Raw genomic sequence first — 26,384 nt, 5'->3', positions numbered from 1 at the left:
TCCTTTCTTTCTTTCTCTTTTTCCTTCAGTCATGTCCTCTCTACCGCCCTCCCCCTCCTTCCATCTCACTCTTTCTTTTGGAGATAGTAATTTCCAGTAATTTATTATCGTGGGATTTTTTTGGCATTGCAATTAATATCTAATTTATTTTTTAGCCATTCATTTTTTATTTTCATTTTTAAAATTTGACCCTTTTAATAGTTTTGTTGAGGTATAATTGATATACAAAGAACTACACATGTCTAATGTGTACAATGTGATGGGTTTGGGCTTAATGCAAACACCATATGACACCATTACCACAATCGGAGTAACAGACATATCCAACACTTTCCGAAGTTCCCTTTTGTTTTTTGTTGCCTGTTTGTTTTGTTTTGTTTATTTATGACTAGAACACTTCACATAAGATCTACCTTCTTAATAAATTTTGAATTGCACACTATCTATTGTTAACTGTGCCTATAGGCACTATGTTTTTCCGCAGATCTCTAGAACTTATTCAGCTAGTATAATTGAAACTTTATAACCATTTAACAACTCCCCATTTTCCCCATTCCCCCAGTATGGGGAAACCACTATTGTATTCTATGCTTCTATGAGTTTGACAATTTTAGATACCTTATGTAATGGAATCATGCAACATTTGTTTTTCCCTAACTGGCTTATTTCACTTAGCATAATGTCCTCTAGGTTCATCCATCTTGCAACAAATGGCAGAGTTTCCTACATTTTTAAGGCTGTAAAATATTTCATTGTATGTATATACAGTACCATATTTTCTTTATCCATTCATCTGCCTATGGGCATGTCCATTGTTTGTTTGTTTGTTTTTTGAGATGGATTCTTGCTCTGTCACCCAGGCTAGATAGAGTGCAGTGGCATGATCTCAGCTCACTGGAATCTCTGCCTCTCAGATTCAAGCGATTCTCCTGCCTCAGCCTCCCAAGTAGCTGGGATTTCAGGCGCCCACCACTGCACCCTGCTACTTTTTGTATTTTTAGTAGAGATGGGGTTTTATCATCTTGGCCAGGCTGGTCTCAAACTCCTGACCTCGTGATCCACCTGCCTCGGCCTCCCAAAGTGCTGGGATTATAGGCGTGAGAAGCCACGGCCGGCCTTTTTAAAATTATTATACTTTAAGTTCTGGGATACATGTGTAGAATGTGCAGGTTTGTTATACAGGTCCACATGTGCCATGGTGGTTTGCTGCACCCATCAACCCGTCATCTACATTAGGTATTTCTTCTAATGCTATCCCTTCCCTAGCCCCCCACCCCCTGACAGGCCCCAGTGTGTGATGTTCCCCTTCCTGCGTCCATGTGTTCTCATTGTTCAACTCCCACTTAAGAGTGAGAACGTGCAGTGTTTGGTTTTCTGTTCCTGTGTTAGTTTGCTGAGAATGATGGTCTCCAGTTCCATCCATGTCCCGACAAAGGACATGAACTCATCCTTTTTTGTGGCTGCATAGTACTCCATGGTGTTCCACATTTTCTTTATCCAGTCTATTATTGATGGGCATTTGGGTTGGTTCCAAGTCTTTGCTATTGTGAACAGTGTTGCAATAAACATATGTGTGCATGTGTCATAGTAGAATGATTTCCAATCCTTTGGGTATATACCCAGTTATGGGATTGCTGGATCAAATGGTATTTCTGATTCTAGATCCTTGAGGAATTGCCACACTGACTTCCACAATGGTTGAACTAATTTACACTCCCACCAACAGTGTAAAAGCATTCCTATTTCTCCATATCCTCTCCAGCATCTGTTGTTTCCTGGCTTCTTAATGATCGCCATTCTAACTGGTGTGAGATGGTATCTCATTGTGGTTTTGATTTGCATTTCTCTAATGAGCTTTTTTCCATATGTTTGTTGGCCGCATAAATGTCTCCTTTGGAGAAGTATCTGTTCATATCCTTCACCCACTTTTTGATGGGGTTTTTTCTTGTAAATTTGTTTAAGTTCCTTGTAGATTCTGGATATTAGCCCTTTGACAGATGGATAGATTGCAAAATTTTTCTCCCATTCTGTAGGTTGCCTGTTAGTCTGATGATAGTTTCTTTTGCTGTGCAGAAGCTCTTCAGTTTAATTAGATCCCATTTGTCAATTTTGGCTTTTGTTGCCATTGTTTTTGGTATTTTAGTCATGAAGTCTTTGCCCATGTCTATGTCCTGAATGGCACTGCCTAGTTTTTCTTATAGGGTTTTTATGGTTTTAGGTCTTATGTTTAAGTCTTTAATACATCTTGAGTTAATTTTTGTATAAGGTGTAAGGAAGGGGTCCAGTTTCAGTTTTCCGCATATGGATAGCCAGTTATCCCAATACCATTTATTAAATAGGGAATCTTTTCCCCATTGCTTGTTTCTGTCATGTTTGTCAAAGATCAGATGGTTGTAGATGTGTGGCATGATTTCTGAGGCCTCTGTTCTGTTCCATTGGTCTATATATCTGTTTTGGTACCAGTACCATACTGTTTTGGTTTCTGTAGCCTTGTAGTATAGTTTGAAGTCAGGTAGCATGATGCCTCCAGCTTTGTTCTTTTTGCTTAGGATTTTCTTGGCTATACAGGCTCTTTTTTGGTTCCATATGAAATTTAAAGTACTTTTTTCTAATTCTGTGAAGAAAGTCAAAGGTAGCTTGATGGAGATACCATTGAATCTATAAATTACTTTCAGCAGTATGGCCATTTTCACAATATTGATTCTTCATATCCATGAACATGGAATGTTTTTCCATTTGTTTGTGTCCTCTCTTATTTCCTTGAGCAGTGGTTTGTATGTAGTTCTCCTTGAAGAGGTCCTTCACATCCTTGTAAGCTGTATTCCTAGGTACTTTATTCTCTTTGTAGCAATTGTGAATGGGAGCTCACTCATGATTTGACTTTCTGTTTGTCTATTATTGTTGTATAGGAATGCTTGTGATTTTTGCACATTGATTTTGTATCCTGAGACTTTGCTGAAGTTGCTTATCAGCATAAGGAGATTTTGGGCTAAGATGATGGGGTTTTCTAAATATATAATTATGTCATCTGCAAACAGAGACAATTTGACTTCCTCTCTTCCTATTTGAATACCATTTATTACTTTCTCTTGCCTGGTTGCCCTGGCCAGAATTTCCAATACTATGTTAAATAAGAGTGGTGAGAGAGGGCATCCTTGTCCTGTGCCAGTTTTCAAAGGGAATGCTTCCAGCTTTTGCCCATTCAGTATATTGGCTGTGGGTTTGTCATAAATAGCTCTTATTATTTTGAGATACATTTCATCAATACCTAGTTTATTGAGAGTTTTTAGCATGAAGGGGTGTTGAATTTTATCAAAGGCCTTTTCTGCATCTATTGAGATAATCATGTGGTTTTTGTAATTGGTTCTGTTTATGTGATGGATTATGTTTATTGATTTTCGTATGTTGAACCAGCCTTGCATCCCAGGGAGGAAGCTGACTTGATCGTGGTGGATAATCTTTTTGATGTGCTGCTGGATTCAGTTTGCCAATATTTTATTGAAGATTTTCGCATTGATGTTCATCAGGGATATTGGCCTGAAATTTTCTTTTTTTTTGTTGTGTTTCTGCCAGGTTTTGGTATCAGGATGATGCTGTCCTCATAAAATGAGTTAGGGAGGAGTCCTTCTTTTTCTATTGTTTGGAATAGTTTCAGAAGGAATGGTACCAAGCTCCTCTTTGTACCTCTGGTGGAATTCAGCTGTGAATCTGTCTGATCCTGGGCTTTTTGTGGTTGGTAGGCTATTAATTACTGTCTCAATTTCAGAACTTGTTATTGGTCTATTCAGGAATTTGACTTCTTCCTGGTTTAGTCTTGGGAGGGTGTATGTGTCCAGGAATTTATCCATTTCTTCTAAATTTTCTAGCTTATTTGCGTAGAGGTGTTTATAGTATTCTCTGATGATAGTTTGTATTTCTGTGGGATCAATGGTGATTTTATCATTTTTTATTGTGTCTATTTGATTGTGTCCTCTTTTCTTCTTTATTAGTCTGGCTAGCTGTCTATGTATTTTGCGAATCTTTTCAAAATACCAGCTCTGGGATTCATTGATATTTTTGAAGAGTTTTTCATGTCTCTATCTCTCTCAGTTCTGCTCTGATCTTAGTTATTTCTTGTCTTCTGCTAGCTTTTGAATTTGTTTGCTCTTGCTTCTCTAGTTCTTTTAATTGTGATGTTAGGGTGTCAATTTTAGACTTTTCTGCTTTCTCCTATGGCCATTTAGTGCTATAAATTTCTCTCTAAACACTGCTTTAGCTGTGTCCCAGAGATTCTGGTACATTGTGTCTTTGTTCTTATTGGTTTCAAATAACGTATTTATTTCTGCCTTAATTTTGTTATTCACCCAGTAGTCATTCAGGAGCAGGTTCTTCAGTTTCCATGTAGTTGTGCAGTTTTGAGTGAGTGTCTTAATCGTGAGTTCTAATTTGACTGCACTGTGGTCTGAGAGACTGTTTGTTAAAATTTCCACTCTTTTGTATTTGCTGAGGAGTGTTTTACTTCCAAGTATGTGGTCAATTTCAGAATAAGTGTGATATGGTGCTGAGAAGAATGTATATTCTGTTGATTTGGGGTGGAGAGTTCTGTAGACGTCTATTAGGTCCACTTGGTCCAGAGCTGAGTTCAAGTCCTGAATATCCTTGTTAATTTTCTGTCTGTTGATCTGTCTAATGTTGACAGTAGGGTGTTAAAGTCTCCCACTATTATTGTGTGGGAGTCCAAGTCTCTTTGTAGGTCTCTAAGAACTTGCTTTATGAATCTGGGTGCTCCTGTATTGGGTGCATGTATATTTAGGACAGTTAGCTCTTCTTGTTGCATTGATCTCTTTACCATTATGTAATACCCTTCTTTGTATTTTTTGATCTTTGTTGGTTTAAAGTCTGTTTTATCAGAGACTAGGACTGCAACCCCTGCTTTTTTTTTTTTTTTTTTTGCTTTCCATTTGCTTGGTAAATATTCCTCCATCCCTTTATTTTGAGCTTATGTGTGTCTTTGCACATGAGATGGGTCTCCTGAATACAGCACACCTATGGGTCTTAACTCTTGATCCAATTTGCCAGTCTCTGTCTTTTAATTGGGGCATTTAGCCCATTTACATTTAATGTTAACATTGTTATGTGTGAATTTAATCCTGTCATGATGATGCTAGCTGGTTATTTTGACTGTTAGTTGATGCAGTTTCTTCATAGTGTTGACAGTCTTTACAATTTGGTATGTTTTTGCAGTGGCTGGTACCGGTTGTTCCTTTCCATGTTTAGTGCTTCCTTCAGGAGCTCTTGTAAGGCAGGCCTGGTGGTGACAAAATCTCTCAGCATTTGCTTGCCTGTAAAGGATTTTATTTCTCCTTCGCTTATGAAGCTTAGGTTGGCTGGATATGAAATTCTGGGTTGAAAATTCTTTTCTTTAAGAATGTTGAATATTGGCCCCATTCTATTCTGGCTTGTAGGGTTTCTGCAGAGAGATCCACTGTTAGTCTGATGGGCTTCCCTTTGTGGGTAACCCAATCTTTCTCTCTGGCTGCCCTTAACATTTTTTCCTTCATTTCAATCATGGTAAATCTGACGATTATGTGTCTTGGGGTTGTTCTTCTAGAGGAGTATCTTTGTGGTATTCTCTGTATTTCCTGAATTTGAATGTTGGCCTTTCTTGCTATGTTGGAGAAGTTCTCCTTGATAATATCCTGAAGAGTGTTTTCCAACTTGGTTCCATTCTCCCCTCACTTTCAGGTACACCAAACAAACGTAGGTTTGGTCTTTCCACATAGTCCCATATTTCTTGGAGGCTTTGTTTTTTCCTTTTCATTCTTTTTTCTCTAATCTTCTCTTCATGCTTATTTCATTAAGTTCATCTTCAATCTCTGATATCCTTGTTCTGCTTGAGCAATTTGGCTATTGATACTTGTGTATGCTTCATGAAGTTCTCGTGCTGTTTTTTTCAGCTCCATTAGGTCATTTTTGTTCTTCTCTAAACTGGTTATTCTAGTTAGCAATTCCTCTAACCCTTTTTCAAGGTTCTTAGCTTCCTTGCATTGGGTTAGAACATGCTCCTTTAACTTGGAGGAGTTTGTTATTACTGACCTTCTGAAGCCTACTTCTGTCAATTTGTCAAATTCCTTCTCTGTCCAGTTTTGTTCCCTTGCTGGCAAGGAGTTGTGACACTTTGCAGGTGAAGAGGTGTTCTGGTTTTTGGAATTTTCAGCCTTTTTGTGCTGGTTTTTCCACATCTTTGTGAATTTATCTACCTCTGGTCTTTGATGGTCTTTTGATGACCTTCAAGTGGGGTTTCCGGGGTTTCTGTGTGGACATCCTTTTTGTTGATGTTGATGTTATTCCTCTCTGTTTGTTAATTTTCCTTCTAATAGTCAGGCTCCTCTGCTGCAGGTCTGCTGGAGTTTGCTGGATGTCCACTCCAGGCCTGGTTTGCCTGAGTATCACCAGCAGATGCTGCAGAACAGCAAAGATTGCTGCCTGTTCCTTCCTCTGGAAGCTTCATCCCAGAGGGGCACCTGCCAGATGCCAGCCAGAACTCTCCTGTATGAAGTGTCTGTCAGCCCCTACTGAGAGGTGTCTCCCCATCAGGAGGTGCAGGGGTCAGGGACCCACTTGAGGAGACAGTCTATCCCTTAGCAGAGCTTGAGCACTGTGCTGGGAGATCTGCTGCTCTCTTCAGAGCCAGCAGGCAGGAACATTTAAGTCTGCTGAAGCTGCACCCACAGCTGCCCCTTCCCCCAGGTACTCTGTCCCAGGGAGATGGGAGTTTTATCTATAAGACCCTGACTGTGGCTGCTGCCTTGCTTTCAGAGATGCCCTGCCAGAAGGGAGGAATCTAGAGAAGCAGTCTGGCTACAGTGGCTTTGCCAAGCTGTGGTGGGCTCCACCCAGTTTGAACTTCCCAGAGGCTTTGTTTACACTGTGAGGGGTAAGCTGCCTACTCAAGCCTCAGTAATGGTGGACGCCCCTTCCCCCACCAAGCTGGAGCATCCCAGGTCAACTTCGCACTGCTGTACTGGCAGCGAGAATTTCAAGCCAGTAGATCTTAGCTTGCTGGGCTCTGTGGGGGTGGGATCTGCTGAGCTAGGCCTGGCTTCAGCCCCCTTTCCAGGGAAGTGAACGGTTCTGTCTCACTGGTGTTACAGGCACCACTGAGGTATGAAAAAAACCTCCTGCAGCTAGCTTGATGTCTGCCCAAATGGCTGTCCAGTTTCGTGCTTGAAACCCATGGGCCCTGGTGGTGTAGGCACCCGGGGGAATCTCCTGGTTTGTGGGTTGTAAAGACCATGGGAAAAGTGTAGTACCTGGGCTAGATTGCACCATTCCTCACAGCACAGTCCCTCACGGCTTCCCTTGGCTAGGGGAGGGAGTTCCCTGACCTCTTGCACTTCCCAGGTAAGGAGACACCCCACCATGCTTCAGCTGGCCCTCCATGGGCTGCACCCTCTGTCTAACCAGTCCCAATGAGATGAGCCAGTACCTCTGTTGGACATACAGAAATCACCTGCCTTCTGTGTTGATCTCACTGGGAGCTGCAGACCAGAGCTGTTCCTATTTGGCCATCTTGCCAGCCATGGCTGATTTTGATTTTATGATACTCATTACCAAGTATCCAAGAAATACAAATGTATAAAAAGGAAAGTTTTTAAAAAATCACCCAAACTGCCATATATAGAGTAACATGAATAGTAATAATCAGTGTGTATACATGCAATTTCAACTTAAAAATTTAATGCAATTTTATTAGATATATTAGAAAAAAAGACATTAAAGTAAAATTAGAGTTGTTGAATGTTTGATATTTTTTAAACCATGATTAATTCCCGAAAGAACACTCTAAAGTTAATAAAGAAGATTAAATAAACCAACAAGAGATTTGGATAGTTATTTTTAATGACAATTTGACTTAGGAGAGTATTTATTGACTTGCTACTAAGAAGGATGAGGAAATAAGCACACTTACATTTCCTCTACTGTATTAGTCCAATCTTATGTTGTTAATAAAGACATACCCAAGACTGGGTAAGTTATAAAGGAAAGAGGTTTAATAGACTCAGTTCCACGTGGCTAGGGAAGCCTCACAATCATGGCAGAAGACAAAGGAAGGGCAAAGGGACGTCTTACATGGCAGCAGGCAAGAGAGAATGAGAGCCAAGCGAAAAGGGAAACCCCTTATAAAACCATCAGATCTCGTGAGACTCATTTACCACCACGAGAACAGTATGAGGGAAACTGCCCCCATGATTCAATTATCTCCAACTGAGTCCCTCCCACAACACATGGGAATTATGGGAACTACAATTCAAGATGAGATTTGGGTGGGGACACAGCCAAACTATATCATCTACCTCATCTCTCCAAATCTCAATTAGTTTTCATTTTATTATTTAGATAATGTCAAGATTTCTGATATTTATGTTATGTTCTATAATATAATTGTTAGTTGATTAGTCTTAATCCTACACAAATGAATTTATTACTCATCTCCCACCTTTTTTACCAGGATCTATGCATTCCTGGATTCTCTGTTTTGAGTCATCTCTGTATCTCATCTTGGCCCTACAGCTTTTTCAAGGGCTTATCAGACAGTATTCTCTGACTGCCTCTCTGCTGTCTCTCTACATGAAGAACACAGGATGAAGAGGAAATCCTTGAGTCATGCTTGCTTTTCTTTAGAATTGTGTAGATCCTGCTCCATTGTCCTCTTGCATTGAATGCTCCTATGAAGATGAGAATTTTTAGTTTATTTGGTTGACTTTCTGTTCAAAGGGGGTTTTGCTTTATCCACGAGGTTCAGCATCTTACACAGGCTTAGTGGCGCATGCTGTGCTATTATGACTTGCAGATAAAAGCTTTTATTAAAGGGAATTAATTCCCCTTATTTTGTCTCTGAATACTTTTCTGTTCCATGTGTTTTGTTCTTCTCAACAAATACCAATTGTGTTTATGTTTGATCTCCTTTGTCCGTCTTCCATATCCCTTATGGCCACTAAAAACCAATTTTACATCTTTGTTCTTTTCCATATAATTTTATATGACTTATTCCAGTCTGTATCCCATCTCCCTTTATTTCCAGTCATTTCCTTTATTTTCTTAAGTTGTTGCTTGTAATGTAAGTTTTGTGTTTGCTATTTTTGTATCTGCCATTTAAAAATTTTTCTTTTTTCCTGACTGTTGCAGTTGTCTTTCCATCTCCTTCTGTTGTCTTATAGTCTCTTTTTTGAACTCAAACCTCACTTTAAAGCCACTTTTTCCCTAGACATCAAGACTATAACTTCCTTGGAAGTATAGAACCTATCTGTCTCAACTTTTCTCTGGGGAAAATCTTATGTTATCCATGTGACTCTTGCTTTATGCTCCATTCCCCCATCCCATGACTTCCTCCCTCCCTTTTGATTTTTCCCCCTAGTTTTGGTGCATAGATATTATGCTGGTGCTTTGAATACAGCTGGCTGTTTGTGAGTAACACGGGTGGGAGAAACGAGCTAGGAGACTTTACATCCATTTGTTGTCTTCAACATTCTGTCACCAAATCTCTTATTTCCTCTACCCACATCTCCTTTCAGATTTTCGAATTTGAATAGTTGATGAGACAAATAAAAGAGCCTCTTAAATAACTGGCTTACTGTGTAATAATCCAACAATTGCTGCCCCTCCCCCCTCCTTCTTTCATACCACTTCATCTCTGGCAGCCTTCCTTGGCAAGGAGGCATAAAAATATGCCTTCTCCCTCAGCTATGTCTCCCATCATGGTTCTGCAAGGGACATCCTCAGTTTTTTTTCCGAGGTACTTCATGATCCAGGATCTAGTCTCTGTCATCAAAGAACTAGAACAGGCCTTTCAGGACTGCCACATTTACTCCTAGGGAAATCTATACCCTGCTCGGCGCCTGAGGAAATATTTGTCAGCTCTCAGCCTTCCCCCTCATTCTGGTCCAGATTTTATGGTCTTTGGCAGGTGTGTTTCTTAATTTATAGTTTGGGATTGTGGCCATTTCATTGTTCATTGAAGACACAGTGTTCCTTCTCTTTCATTCTTTTAGTGGGTTTTTTGTTGGGTTTCAAAGGAGGAAAATGGAATTTTTAAAAATGCCTTTAGTGACATCTTTTAACAGAAAGCCCTAATTATTATTATTTTTCAGTATAGACAAAAGCTTTTTGTAAGCTTTTGAATAAATATTTTTAAATTACCATTACCATATTATCACTTTTTTAACAAGTCAAAACATCATCTAGGAGTTTCTCACATAATAAAAATGAATGTCAGCTTTTTATTAAACTACTATGTGAGTTACTTTTGTTCATATAAAAGTGGTTAAATAACTGCCAATGGCTACTCAGAAGACATTTTTAATGATACATATTTGACTTTTTCTCCCCATCCTGAATGGAAGGATGGTTTGTAAACCCTTTTTTCTGGAGCAAAGTCTTCTGTGACTGTGTGTCTGCTAAGTTAAAGTAAGCATGCCATCAGAGAATGTCCACAACTCACAGAGAGAGGAGATGTCATAATCAGTGCCATTAATTATCATTCACAAAGCAGCAACTTTATGCCAAAGCTTGTCATGGTTTCCTCTATAGACATCTCGTGGATTCCTCAGGAATTGCTCATGGGAACAATATAGATTGAGTTCTTGCATCTTCAAAACTATTTGCCTGTGGCCTTTAAACTTGAAAGTCAGTTTGGCAGGATATAAAATCTTTGGCTCACACTTTCTTTCCTTCAGTATCTTAAATATGTGGCTCCACTGTTTTCTAGTATGAAGTGGTATTGTTGAGAAGTCTAGCGTCAGTTTGATTTTCTTTCCCTAATAAATGACTTGATTCTTTTGCATAGATGCACAAATATATTTTTATCTTTTAGTAGAATATGTCCTTTTTTTGAGATGGATTCTTGCTCTGTTGGCACAATCTCAGCTCATTGCAAACTCTGCCTCCTGGGTTCAAGTGATTCTCCTGCCTCAGCCTCCCGAGTAACTGAGATTACAGGAGTGTGCCATTAAGCCCAGCTAATTTTTGTATATTTTTTAGTACAGACAGGGTTTCACCATGTTGGCCAGGCTGGTCTTGAACTCCTGGCCTCAAGTGATCCACCCACCTTGGCCTCCCAAAGTGTTGGGATTACAGGCTTGAGCCACTGCACCCAGCTGAGTATGTCTTGATATTGACCATTCTGGGTCAGTTTTCCCAGGTATATAGAGTGCCCTTTCAATATGGCAATTTGAGCCATTAAGTTTTGTTCTGTTATGATTTTTGGTGGTTTTCTTTTCCTGGGACTCTATATTCATTGAATTTTATTTCCTTGTCTTTTATATATATTATCTGCACTTGAATCTTTTTTTATTTCTCTTTGATTCTTGTCATTTCCCTCCTTTTATTTTGCTTATTACACTTTCTCTGCCCAGTCATTCTTGAGTTTCTTCTAGTGTTTAGTCTACATTCTGAGAAATTTACCCTTAGTTTTAAAAATTCTTTTCTAAACCGTCAGCTATCATTTTACATTCTCCTGTTATTTATTCATCTCATTTCTTGAATTTTCTATTTCTGATTTGTTTCTACAGTTTTCTTTTTGTTTCTCTTAGCTCATTTTGTAACACTGAGTATATTTTCATCTGTTTAAAGGCCAAATTTTCATTATGTTGGTATGCTATTGATACTTTTATCTTACTGTATCTTTTTGGAGGTTTGCAGATGTTCTTATTAAATGAATTAGATTGTTTTCTGTACTTTTAGGGAAAGAGAGTGTAAGCAGGAGGGAATATTTCAGGATAGTTATCTTCACTGTTAAGAGCTTCCTCCTCTGGTGTTAAAAGGAAGTATTATATGCAACAATTTGGCCACAATTCTGGGATTTGTATCTCTGGACTCCCCAACTCCCAAGGATCTGAACATCTCTTTCCTTTACCTCTTGTGTTCCTTCTCCACTTGGATTATAATTCTGACAACTTTTCTTGGGCACTTCTTAAGCCCTTTAGTGGTTCTGCACAATCTTTCTTGCATCCAATCACACTCTGGAACCAATCACACTCTGGAGTCCTTCCTCAATTTGGCTGATTGGTCTCAGACCTATTTGCTGAGGGTTCTACTCAGAGTAGGATCATTTTCTTGTCATGCTATTTATTCGTGACATCTGTGTTCCACAACTCTTGGCCCTGTCTCTCCTCTTTTTTATCGCTGCCCAGCTGCTAATTCTGCCATTTCTGAACAGTGTCTGCACTGTGTGGTTTGGCCTCACCTACTTATATTACTTTTGTTAAAATTACCTCTGTTGTTTTTCCTTTCCTTCTGCATTCCTAATTGCTCTGCTTTTTGTTTTTTAATGAGGGATTTGGGAATAGTAACTATGCTACTACCATGATTTTGCTTCACTAGAAGCCTTCAAATAATTTTTAAAGGGACTACTGTCAATAATATACTTTTAGATATCATGGTAGTCATCTTCCATGGTTTCAACTACCACATATGTGTTGATGATTCACGCAATTATAACTTTAATGTAGATCTTTTCTGAGCTGTAATTCTTTACTGATACCTTTATAGACTCTCAAACTACATGTATGTCTAAAATAAGCCATTTTTCTCTCCCTTTCAAGTCACTTTCTGAATATGCTTCTTCTTTCTAATTAATTTTAAAATTAATGTCGTCTCATTCATTAGCTTCCCAGGACAAAAATACAAAACACTCCTCTTTTTTGCTCATGTCCTGTCAATTCAATTGCCAAATATGTCAGTTAAATCTCCTACATATTGTTCAAAACCACTTACTACTCTCTATCCCAACTGCTTCTTCATTCTCTCTTGTTGATTTTATTCCAATCACCATCTAACAAGGTTTTTCAAGCTTCAATTCCTTCTTCCTCTAATACCTTATCCATAGTGCAGCCAGAATTATATGTCTAAAACCTTACATTTTACTTCCCCATTCAAACACCTTCCAACATGCTCTCAATGACTGTAGGGATAAATCCAATACCCTAAAGCCTTCACAATCCAGCTGTAATCTCTCCTTTCCATCTCACCTACCAGCACTTACTCAGTGCATCCTGTTCTCAAGCCACACAAGACTGATAAACTCTCCCAAATCTGTGCCTTTATATACACGCTTGTCACTCTAGAACACCCCTCTGTCTCATTTCCACACAGTTTGCACTCATCTCTTAAGACGCAACTCCAAAGCTGCATCTTATGCAACACTTTCCAGTGACCCAGGCAGACTTAAACGTTTCCCTTCAATTTTCACGTAGCTCTGTAGACAGAACACCTTTATTGGGCATTTTTTACATGGTTGTAAATGTCATTTCTTCTGCCTGCCTTTTTAAACAGTGAGCTCACTGAAAACTATTCTTAGTTGTCTCTGGTTCCTGGTGCCTAGGGTAATCAACATAGCAATGCTCAGTAAATGTTGATTAAATGAGTGAGTTTGTAAGGCTATGGAAATAGGCCTATTTAGAGTAGAAGAAGCTTTTATAAATCTTTATACTTCAGCCAAAAAGTGTTTACCAAGCACCAAGTGGGATACAAACATGTGCAGAAATGGGTCTTCCCCTCTGGCAGTTACTTTGGGTCAGGAAAATAAAGTGTATTCAGGTTATGTGTGTGTGTGTGTGTGTGTGCCTGTGCGGTGTGTGTGTGTAACTTAAAACACATGGAACAGATAGAACTACATGAATTTGAATCCACTGGGCATATTTTGGATGGGTCATAATATAAGAGTAAACTGTCAGATTCAGTCTAAAAAGACACTATTATTCCAGTAGAAGAGTGCTTAGCAAAAAGGGCAGAGCAAGATGGCAGAATAGAAGGCTACATTGATCATCCCCCTACTCCCACTACCACAGGAAAACTAAATTTAAACAATTATCTGTGAACAAAAAAGCACCTTCATAAGAACTAAAAATTGGGTGAGCCATCACAGTACTTGTTTTTAATTTCTTATCACTGAAAGAGGCACTGAAGAAGGCAGAAAAGATGGCCTTAAATCACCAACACCACCCCTTCCCCATTCCCTGGCAGTGGCTGCATGGCACGGAGAGAGAATCTGTGCACTTCAGGGAGGGAGAGCACAGCAACTGGGGGACTTTGCATTGAACTCAGTGCTGCCCTGTCACAGTGGGAAGTGAAACCATGTTGAACTCAGCTGATACCCACAGAGACAGCATTTGGACCAGCCCTAGCCAGAGGGGAAGTGCCTATTCCAGTGGCCGGAGCCTGAGTTTCAGCAGTCTCACCACCATGGGCTAAGGTGCTGTGGGGTCCTAAGTGAACTTGAAAGGCAGTCTAGGAAGGACTCAGATTCTTAGGCAAGTCTGATGGTGTTCTGGGGTTAGAGCCAGTGGACTGGGGCAGTGTGTGACCTAGTGACACACCAGATGGGGCAGCTGGGGAAGTACCTGCACTACCCCTCCCTCAACCCCAAGCAGCACAGCTTGTAGCAATGAAAGCAACTCCTTCCTTCTGCTTGAGGAGAGGAGAGAGACCAGTCAAGAGGACTTTGTACTTTGTCTTGCATCTTGGATACAAGCTCAGCCACAGACAGTGCACTGGGCAGAGTCGTGAAGCCCCCATGCCAGGTCCTAGCTCCTGGGTGACATTTCTAGACACACCCTGGGCCAGAAGGGAACCCACTGCCTTGAAGAGAAAGACCAAGTCCTGGCAGCATTAATTATCTGCTAACTAAAGAGCCCTTGGGCCCTGAATAACCAAAAGTGATATCCAGGTAGTATGCCATGGGCCTTGGATGAGACTTTGAGATATGCTGGCTTCGGGTAACAGCTCAGCACAGTGGATAGAGTATCTAGTGGGCTTCAGGGGTCCCTGAGTTCAGGCCTAGGCTTTCGGACAGCATTTCTGCACCTTCCCTGGGCCAGAGGTGGGAGCCTACTACCCTGAAGGGTGAATCCCAGGTTTGGCAGCATTCACAAGCTGGCTGAAGAGCCCCTAGGCATTAAGTGATCAGCAATGGTAGCCTGGCAGAACTCTCTACGGACTGCTGATGATGATGGCCATGGGGAGAGCTCCTCTGCCTGTGGAAAGGGGAGGGAAGAGGGGGAAGGATTTTGTTGTATGGTTTCAGTGGCAGCTTAGCCACAGGGTAATAGAATACCAGGTAGATTTCTAAGGTTTTTGACTTAAATCCCTGGCTCTCAGAAAGTATCTCTGGACATGCCCAGGGCCTGAAAGAACTTGCCTCCCTGAAGGGAAGAACATAAGCCTGAAGGGAAGGACATAAGCCTGGATGGCTTCAACTCTTGCTGACTGTAGCCCTAGGGCCTTGAGTGAACATAGGCAGTAACCAGATAGTGGCTGCAGTGGGTCTTGGGTGAAACCCAGTGCTATTCTGGCTTCAGGTCTGACCCAGGGCAGTTCCAGTGTTGGTGGCCATAGGGGTGCTTGCATCACCCCAATCCCAGCTCCAGGTGGCTCAGCAGAGAGAGAGAGAGAGACAGAGACAGAGGCAGAGAGATGCTGTTTGTTTGGGAGAAAGTAAAGGAAGAGAACAAGAGTCTCTTCCTGGTAATCCAGAGAATGCTTCTGGATCTTATCCAAGACCACCAAAGTGATATCTCTATGAGTGTGCATGAAGCACAGTGTTACTGGGCTTGGGGCCCAAGTCCCTTTGAATACTTGGAAAGGCTTCCCAAGAAGGACAGGCATAGACTGTAAAGCCCAGATTGTGAAGACTACAATAAATACATAATTATTCAATGCCCAGACACCAAAGGACATCTACAGGAAAACATGACTTCACCAAATGAACTACATCAGGCACCAGGGACCAATCCTGGAGTGACAGAGATACATGACAGAGAATTCAAAATAGCCATTTTGAGGAAACTCAAACAAATTCAAGACAATATAGAAAAGGAATTCAGAATTCTATCAGATAAATTTAACAAAGAGATTAATTTTTAAAATCAAGCAGAAATTCTAGATTTAAAAAATACAATTGACATACTGAAGAATGTATCAGAGTCTCTTGGCAGCAGAACTGATCAACCAGAAGAAAGAACTGGTGAGCCTGAAAACAGGGTATTTTAAAATACAGTTAGAGGAGACAAAAGAAAAAAGAATAAAAAATAATGAAGCATGCCTACAAGATTTAGAAAATAACCCTGAAGGGGCAAATCTAAGAGTTATTAGTCTTAAAGGGGAGGTAGAGAAAGCGATAGGGGTAGAAAAATTATTCAAAGGGATATCAGAGAACTTCCCAAACCTAGAGAAAGATATTAACATTCAAGTGCAAGAAGGTTATATAATACCAAGCATACTTAGTGCAAAGAGGACTACCTCAAGGAATTTAATAGTCAAACTCCCAAAGGTCAAGGGTAAATACCATAAAAGCAAAAAGAGAAAAGAAACAAATAACACACAATGGGGTTCTAATAAGTCTGGAAACAGACTTTTCAGTGGAAACCTTAAAGGCCAGGAGAGAGTGGCATGACATATTTAAAGTGCTGAAGGAACAAAACTTTTACCCTAGAATAGTATATCCAGTGAAAATATCCTTCAAGCATTAAGGAGAAATAAAGGTCTTCCCAGACAAACAAAAGCTGAGGGATTTTATTAACACCAGACCTGTCCTATAAGAAATGCTAAAGGGAGCTCTTCAGTCTGAAATAAAAGGATATTAATAAGCAAGAAGAAATCACCTGAAGGTACAAAACTCACTGGTAATAGTAAGTACACAGAAAATCATGGAATATTATAACACTGTGATTGTGGTGTCAAAACTAATCTTAAGTAGAAAGTCTAAATGATGAACCAATCAAAAAATAATAAATACAACAACTTTCAAGCCAGGATAGCACAATAAAACATAAAGAGAAACAAAAAGTTAATAAGTGAGAGGACAAAGTAAAAGTATAGAGTTTTCATTAGTTTTCTTTTTGTGTGTTTGTTTACACAATGTGTTAAGTTGTCATCAGTTTAATATAATGGGATATAAGATAGTATGTGCAAGCCTCATGGTAATCTCAAATCAAAAACCATACGATGGATACAGAAAAAATAAAAAGCAAGAAATTAAGTCATACCACCAGAAAAAAATCACCTGTACTAAAAAGAAAACAGGAAGGAAGGAAAGAAGAAAGAGAAGACTGCAAAACAAACGGAAAACAAATAACAAAATGGCAGGAGAAAGTCCCTACTTATCAACAGTAACACTTAATGTAAATGGACTAAACTCCCCAATCAAAAGGCACAGAAAGGCTGAATGGATGAAAAAACAAGAGCCATTGATCTGTTGCCTACCTACAAGAAGCACATTTCACCTGTAAAGATACACATAGACTGAAAATAAAGGGATGGAGTTAGATGTTCCATGCCAACGGAACCCCAAAAACAGCAGTAGTGCTATGCTTATATCAGACAAAATAGATTTCAAGGCAAAAACTGTAAGAACAGGCAAAGAATGTCATTGTTTAATTTATAGAGGGGTCAGTTCAGCAAGGGGATATAACAATGTTTTTTTCTTTTTTTTTTTTTTTTGAGGTGGAATCTTACTCTGTCGCCCAGGCTGGAGTGCAGTGGCACGATCTTGGCTCACTACAACCACCACCTTCCAGGTTCAAGTGATTCTCTCGCCTCAACCTCCCAAGTAGCTGGGATTACAGGTGCTTGCTACCACGCCTGGCGGGATATGACAATTGTAAACATATATGCACTAAACACTGGAGCACTCAGATATATAAAACAAATATTATCAAAGCCATATAGAGATATAGGCCTCAATACAATGATAGCTTGAGTCTTCAACATCCCACTTTAAACACTGGACAGATCTTCCAGGCCGAAAACCAACAAAGAACCATCCAATTTAATCTACACTATAGGGCAATAGATACAGAACATTCCATTCAGTGGCTGCAGAATACACATTCTTCTCTTCAGCACATGGATTATTCTCAAAAACAGACCATATGTTCAGCCCTACAGAAGTCTTAAAACACTCAAAAAACTGAAATGACATCAAGCACCTTTTCTGACCACAATGGAATGAAATTAGAAATCAATAACAAGAGAAATTTTGGAAAATGTACAAATACACGGAATTTAAACAATATGCTCCTGAATGACAAGTGGGTCAATAAAGAAATTAAGAAGGAAATTGAAAATTTTCTTAAAACAAATGATAATGGAAGCACAACATACCAAAACCTATGAGATACAGTGAAAGCAACACTAAGAGGGACATTTATAGCTATAAATGCCTACATCAAAAAAGAAGAAAAACTTCAAGTAAACAACCTAACAATACATCTTAGCTAGAAAATCAAGAGCAAAACAACCCAAAATTAGTAGAAGAAATACGATACAAACGATCAATGAACCAAAAAGTTGGTTTTTTGAAAACATAAATAAAATCGACAAAACTCTTGCCAGACTAAGAAAACAAGAGAGAACACCCCAATAAATTAAATCAGAGATGGAAAAGAAGACATTAGAACTGATACTGCAAAATTCAAGGGATCATTAGTTGCTACTATGGCAATTACATATCAATAAATTAGAAAATTTAGAAGAAATGGCTAAATTCCTAGACACATACAACCTACCCAGATTGAACCATGAAAAAATCCAAAACCTGAACAGACCAATAACAAGCTAACAAGATCAAAGCCATAATAAAATGTCTCCCAGTAAAGAAAAGCCTGAGATCCAATGACTTCACTGATGGTTTCTACCAACATTTAAAGAACTAAGACCAATCTTACTCGAACTGTTCTGAAAGATAGTGGAGGATAGAATACTTCCAAACTCATTCTATCAGGCCAGTATTAATCTGATACCAAAACCAGACAAAAACACATCAAAAAGAGAAAAAGAAAACTACAGGGCCTGATGAACACTGATGCAAAAATTCTCAACAAAATATCAGCATAGTGATTTCAACAACACAGTAAAAGATCATTCATCATGACCAAGTGGGATTTATCCCAGGGATGCAAGGATGGCTTAACACATGCAAATCAATCAATGTAATACATCATATCAACAGAATGAAGAACAAAACCATATGATCATTTTAATTAATGCCAAACAAGCACGTGATAAAATTTAACATCCCTTCATGACAAAAATCCTAAAAAAAAGGAGTATAGAAGAAACATACCTCAACACAATGAAAGCCATGTATGACAGACCCACAGCTAGTATCATACTGAATGGGGAAAAACTGAAGGCTTTTCCTGTAATATCTGGAAAAAGACAAGGATGCTCACTTTCGCCACTGTTATTCAACATAGTCCTAGTAGTCCTAGTTAGAGGAATCAGGTGAAAAAAAAAAAAAAGAAAAGAAAAGAAATAAAGGGCATCCAAATTGGAAACGAAGAAGTCAAATTATCTCTGTTCCCAGATGATATGATCTTACATTTGGAAAAACCTAAAGACTCCACCAAAAAACTATTAGAACTGATAAACAAATTCAGTAAAGTTGCAGGATACAAAATTAACATACAAATATCAGTAGCATTTCTATAAGCCAACAGCGAACAATCAAAAAAATCAAGAAAGTAGTCCCATTTACAATAGCTACAAATAAAATGAAATACCAAGTAATCAACTTAACCAAAGAAGTGAGAGATCTCTATAATGAAAACTATAAAACATTGATGAAAGAAATTGAAGAGGACTATAAAAAATGGAAAGATATTCCATGTTCATGGGTTGGAAGAATCAATACTGTTGCAATGTCCATACTACCCAAAGCGATCTACAGATTCAATGCAATCCCTATCAAAATATCAATGACATTTTTCACAGAAATAAAAAAATCCTAAAATTTATAAAGAACAACAAAAGACCCAGAATAGCCCAAGCTATCCTGACTAAAAAGAACAAAACTGGAGGAATCACATTATCTGACTTCAAATTATACTACAGAGATAATAGTAACCAAAACAGCATAGTACTGGTATAAAAACAGACACATAGACCAATGGAACAGAGTAGAGATCCCAGAGATAAATCCATAGATCTACAGTGAACTCATTTTTGACAATGGTGCCAAGATCATACATTGGGGAAAGGACAATCTCTTCAATAAATGATGCTGGGAAAACTGGATATCCATATGCAGAAGAGTAAAACTAGACCCCTCTCTCTTAATATATACAAAAATCAAATCAAAATGGATTAAAGCCTTAAGTTTAAGACCTCAACTAAGAAACTGCTACAAGAAAACGTTGGGGAAACTTTTCAGGACACTGCTCTGGGCAAATATTTCTTGATTAATACCCCACGAGCACAGGCAAAGTAAAAATGGACAAATGGGATCACATGAAGTTAAAAAGCTTCTACACGGCAAATAAAACAATCAACAAAGTAGACACAACCCACAGAATTGGAGAAAATATCTGAAGATTACCCATCTGACAAAGGTTTAAGAACCAGAACATATAAGGGGCTCACACAACTCTATAGGAAAAAAAAATCTAATAATCCAGTTTAAAAATGGGAAAAGATCTGAATAGACATTTACCAAAGAAGACAAACAAAGGGCAAGCAGGCATATGACAAGGTGATCAACATCAATGATCACCAGAGAAATGCGAATCAGAACTACAATGAGATACCATCTCACTCCAGTTAAAATGGCTGTTATCTAAAAGACAGGCAATAACAAATGTTGGCAGGGATGTGGAGAAAAGGGAACCCTTGTACATTGTTGGTGGGAATGTTAATTAAAACAACTACTATGGAGAACAGTTTGGAGGTTCCTCAAAAAACTAAAAATAGAGCTACCATATGATCTAGAAATCTCACTCCTAGGTATATACCAAAAAGAAAGGAAAATCAGATACTAAAGAGCTATCTATAATCCCATGTATACCACAGCCGTATTCACAATAGCCAAGATATGGAAACAACCTAAGTGTCCGTCAGCAGACTAATGGATAAAGAAAAGGTGGTACATATACACAATGGAGTACTATTCAGCCATAAAAAAGAATGAGATCCTATCATCTGCAACAACATGGATGGAACTGAAGGTCATTATGTTAAGTTAAATAAGCCAGGCACAGAAAGACAAACATCACATGTTCTCACTTATTTGTGGGAGCTAAAAATTAAAATAATTGAACTCATGGAGATAGAGAGTAGAAGGATGGTTATCAAAGGCTGGGTAGGGTAGTTGGGCAGGGATGTGGGGATGGTTAATGAGTACAAAAAATAGTTAGAAAGAATCAGTAAGACCTAGTATTTGCTAGCACAACAGGGAGACTATATCCAAAAACAATTCAATTGCATTTTTAAAATAATTAAAATAATATAATTTGGATTGTTTATTATACAAAGGATAAATGCTTGAGGGGATGGATACCCCATTCTCCATTTTGTGATTCTTACACATTGCATAACTGTTTCAAAGTATCTCATGTACCCCATAAAATATATATTTACTATATACCCACAAAAATTAAAAATAAAAAAATTCAAAAAGAATTGTTATCTGCCTAGTGATTCATAATAAAAAACTCATAATTAATAACACATAATAAAAATGAGTAAAAGAAGAGTTTTATAATAAACCTTAAGAGCTGAACTGGTCTTTTATTCACAGAAAGAATATCTGAACATACAGTTAATGCATTTAGATCAACAACCTTCGATCAAGACCAAATTAAATCTGTAGGATAATGATTCATAGAATGTATCTTCACCCAGAGGTCTGATATTTCCTGGCCCCAAGAAACACCAGTTATGAAGATAAAGATAAAAAATGTCTTAAGGAAGCCCAACCAAGTTTCTTAGACTTTGTATCAAAGAGCTCAGAGATGGGAGCTTCTTGAGGGCACTTCCATCCTAAGCACCATCGATAAGCTGAAAGTGTTTCATTCATAACTCTGTGTGTGTGTGTGTGTGTGTGTGTGTGTGTGTGTAAATAAGCTTTTGTGCACTTGTGTGCTGGTAAATGTTTCAAAACATGTTCTTGGAGGAAATAGCCATGATGGTTTTGCCAGTTTCTGTGGTGTAAATACTCCCATCATGGCTGATTTCCAGCTATCAACCCTATGTGACTGAGCACAAGTTGGGATGAGATCATAAGTGGTTCTCACTGGCCAGTAAGAACTGACTTCAACACACTACTTCCTTCACGAGTTGTAATTCATAGTTCTATGGAAAATCGGGGAATGCCATATTTTAAAATCCATGTATCCTGGACATATCTTGGGTTGTTCTTTATAACATTTTTCAGTTATAGAGATATTTTCCTTTTTACTTAGCATATTAGATATATTAATAGTTCAAGAGTTGAAGAGTTGGCAGATACGAATAACAATATAGGAGGTGAAGAACTCAGAGATGATCATAAGTGTTGGAAGACAGTGGTACATGGACAGAGACAGGAAGTGGGGAGAACTGGTTGGGAGAGAGTGAAGAGGCTGTCCCTTTGCTTTCCCACGATGAGGATATAAACTAGATGGAGAGCTGGAGACGTGGTTAGAAGGTTAGAGACTTTCTGGAGATTGAAAATCATCCATGGGAGTTAAAGAATTCAGGACACAGAATCAACCACAGTGGAAAAGTGTAGCAATGGAAAAGGATCAAATATTGGGCTTTTTGAGATTTGGAAGAAGAGAAGCCAACAGAAAAGACATAGTCAGATAAGTAGAAAAAATAAAAACACCAAGAAACATGATGAAGGAAAAAGGTGAAGATAAACAAAATAATCAAATGTTCCATCAAAGTACAGAAAATAAAGGAGGCTATTTCAGCCAAGAGGTGGGACACAAAACAGGCTACAAGGGGTATGTGGATCACAGAAATTCACCATTTGGGAAGATTGCCTGATATGAGTCAATGCTCCTTTCTTATAACTTCAAAAGCAGTGTAAGAACTGAAGGCTCCTTTCTGCCTAAGGCTTGGTCCAGATCTAAGGAACCAAGGCAAACTCATAAGCCAATGAATGGACAGAGCTTAAACATATCATGAATAGAGCTAGTGTCGGGGAAGAGGAAGATTCTGGCTGCAAGCCAGAGGCCTGGCTCCGTGAAGAATGGAAATTCTGGCGTGGCTGCTCAGCCTTTCTGTGTCCAGGGTTAGTGGCCAGTTTCAACGTGGAAGGACCTTATCCAGAACCACAAAATGGATGGCTGCCCCCAAGTGAGCCATCCCATGGCAGAAGGACTAGTTTGGCAGGAAGCTTTAAGAAGGGTGGCAATTTGGTATCAGAGTCTCTGCCAAAAAAAAGCAACTCTGATGAGAAGAAATTTTAACTAACAGGAGAAAGCTCCATCCAGTAGAAAACTAAAATTTCTGTGCAACAGGTTGTGTGCCTGACTGCGCTCAAGCCTCACCAATGGCTTTTGGTGTCACAGGCTGAGGCTGCCTCTGTTTTCTTGTGCGTGTATATACGCTTGCCCTTCCTCCCAGATAGGGGCTTCCTAGATGTGAGGTCATGACTGGAAGCCAGAGTGTCTTGTTTGAGTTTGGGCTGACCTCTTGGAGCACAGAAGAGCTTGCTCTTTGCCCTGATGAATGGTTGCCTATGAAACTAAACAGCCTCCAGTCCAAACCAGCTCACATGGGTAGCCTCCTCTTAAGTTTCCTTTTCTTCTTTGTCTCAACAAAAACCCCTCCAATGAACGATCTGCCTCTCCTGTGTTAGCAGACCTGAGCTCTTCTAAAGATCACTATTTCAACACCACTTTGGATTTTCTCTGACTTTGCAAAGACTGTTGAGGAATAGTATTTACTTGCTTAGAGCTCTGAACAACTGGAGGACCTGTTGGCAATCCCATGGCCACTGGCCTCAAGGACAATATAAACCAGATGGGAAGACCATGTGGATGCTCAGGAAATAGCTACCATTGCAAAACAGTAAAAATTAGGGTCACTGTGATTTAAAAGTCGGAAATGCTGGGTGACTTTAGGAAGTGGAAAACTTCACAGAAGAGGAAAGCTCACAGTTGGACCAAGGATTTGAAAGCCACAAGAGCAAAGACACACAAGTGGGCCCACATAGATGTGCAATGGTGTTACTTTAGTGATACGCAACTGGCAACTGTAAATTCAGTTATTCACTGAGAGAGCGGACACGGAGGAAAGTGGTGATGTCACCACTAGCCTCCACTCTAAGACACCAGTGACAACCGTTTGTTCCACCAGGCAGGATATAACTGTGAAGGCCTGTTTGTTCTTAGAGGAAAGAAGCAAGGACAGAAGCAAAGTGGGGTATTTTAGAGCTTGGCAGTGGTTCTAGGTGCTCCCTCGCTGCATCCAGAAACAAGCTGTCTGGTTTCTCCTCCTCAATATCTGCCCCTTTGCTGTTCTTCCCTTTTCTTGCCTCCTCCCTTTAGGTTAGGGCAGCACTTGATCAAAGAAGTCACTACCCAGGGCCATTCCTACCTTGGACACATGTAAGGGCTAACTCACCCAAACAAGAATGAGAGGCAGGTAAGGAAACACTTCTCACACTGCAAGTGTATCATTACAACACCCAGGGATCTTGTTGAAATGCAGACTCTGATTCCTTAGGTCTGGGTGGGACTTGAGATTCCTCATTTCTTATAAGTTCCCTGCTGATGTCAATTTGACTAGTCCTTGGGCCACACTAAGTGTAGCAAGGAGAATCACGCATCACAATGCCAAGATTCTCCCCACAAAATTGTGGCCCTTCCTTCTGTCCCTAACTTTATGGAAACAGTAACTGGAACCTTCATCTCTCCTGACAATGGGGCAAGGTAAGACTTCACTCTTGGGGCTTAGCTGGGTGATGGAATAAATACTGCCTACACACTAGCCCACCCAGGCTACCCACCTCTCTAACACCTTTGCCCAGCCCCCACTGCCTGACCTAGTCTCAAAGGAATTCCCAAAAGAATGATTCTCCCTTGGGCCGTCTATTGTTCCTTGTGCAAGTAGGAGGAAAATTAAGCAAACCCACTTTTGCACACAAAGCTCTCCAGACAGACCTTCTACCTGTCCTTCCCACCCTCCTTTGGGGTGGTGGTCTCACCTGGATCAGTCCTTTCTCTTTGTTTAGGACCTGACTGCAGGAGGGACTCCTGTCCCTCAAGTCATTGACCTATAGTATGGCAACTTTCCGGGGAGAGCTGTGGCCACTGGCACTGTCTCCAGCTGCTTGTGAGTTGGATAGAGGAAGTGGGTATTGGTGGCTGGATCCTAGGGCAACTCCTGCTCTGTAGACCCTGGAGAGATGGGTTCATCTCTTTCCTTGGGCCTCTTCTGAGGTTTCAGGGAAAGTTTATGTAGACCTTCAGTGGCCTTGATTGAGGATAATGACCTGTAGGTTTTCAGTTAAGACAGTTTTAAAATACTAGCACTTAACAAAACTACACGGTTAAAACAGGAAAAATCCCAATCTGGATATATGTACAGAAATACTGTTAATCCAACCTACAGCCAGAAATGTGGACCTTCTATCAAGGGCAATGGGAAGAGCCTACTCTACTAGACATTGCCATGTCAAATATCTTATGTTATCCTCACAAGAACCATTGCATTTAGCGAAAGTAAACGGAAGCTCAGAGAGGTTAGGTGTATTTAACAAGGCCACCCAGATTTAGGCTTTAGAGCTGGGGTACCAGCATGGGTCTGTTGGACTCAAAAGCCTTTTCTCTTGCATAAAAGACAGGAGTGTATACATGTGTAATAATTTTGGGTCACACAGGCCTGGGTTTGAATCTATCTCTGTCCTTGGGCAAGTTACTTAATCTGAATGAACCTCTGTTTTTCTCATCTATAAAAAGGGAGACAACGTCTGCTTCTGGGGCTATCGTAGGATGATATGAGAGGAGCAGGTCATGACTATGCCTGGCACTGAACCTAGGACTCAGAGCAGGTTGTGAATGTCACTCACTGTCCTTCCTTATTTCTTGAGGTTAGTTCTGATGTTGGGGTTGGGTCTCCACTCCAAGAAGATACCTACCAGTTAGCAGTGACTGAAGGTTACAAGACACTGATAACATAACTAATTATGTGTTTTGGAATCTGTGCTAAAATCTCAGCCTGCAGATGTTAAGGATGCAGCAAGACTGGAGCAAAGGGCTGGAAGAAGAATAAGGACTGGAGTAAGAGAGCCATGAGTGCAAGAAAGGCCCTACCAGCTATTCTGGGGAACATATACAATAGTCCCTTCTTATCCACGGTTTCGCTTTCCACAGTTAACTGTGGTCCAAAAATATTAAATAGAACATTCCAGAAATAAACAATTTGTAAGTTTTAGTTTGCATGACGTTCTGAGTAGTGTGATGAAATCTCTCACCATCTCGCTCCATCTGCCCAGGACATGAATCATTCCATCCATGCTACCTGCCTATTAGTCACTTAAGTAGTCTTCTCAGTTATCAGATAAAAAAAAACATAGGATATATAAAATTCAGTATGATCCACAGTTTCAGGCATCCACTGGGGTCTTGGACTGTATTCCC

General features: G+C 39.7%; 1 protein-coding gene and 1 long non-coding RNA gene across 13 annotated transcripts in view; one reads left to right on the top strand and one right to left on the bottom strand.

The window, feature by feature from the left end:
- The window catches only part of ADAMTSL3 (ADAMTS like 3), a 385,720-nt gene that overhangs the window by 69,562 nt on the left and 289,774 nt on the right, over nt 1-26,384 (bottom strand). For 2 of the 12 annotated variants that reach the window (XM_047432888.1, XM_047432889.1), the window contains one exon: nt 8,480-8,708. The exons of the other annotated variants lie outside the window; for them this stretch is intronic. In XM_047432888.1, the coding sequence (XP_047288844.1) occupies nt 8,661-8,708 (48 nt within the window). In that variant the 3' untranslated portion in view covers nt 8,480-8,660. Of the gene's footprint in view, nt 1-8,479; nt 8,709-26,384 lie in introns of those variants that run through there. 12 annotated transcript variants of the gene reach the window in all.
- Nucleotides 8,924-26,054, top strand: LOC105370935 (uncharacterized). Its single transcript, XR_007064744.1, has 3 exons — nt 8,924-24,674; nt 25,704-25,834; nt 25,962-26,054. It is a non-coding gene; the product is annotated as an uncharacterized LOC105370935 (long non-coding RNA).

The sequence above is a fragment of the Homo sapiens genome, chromosome 15 (genome assembly GCF_000001405.40).
Source record: "Homo sapiens chromosome 15, GRCh38.p14 Primary Assembly".
NCBI classification, from domain to species: Eukaryota; Metazoa; Chordata; class Mammalia; order Primates; family Hominidae; genus Homo; species Homo sapiens.
This window is presented reverse-complemented; position numbering and strand designations above follow the sequence as displayed.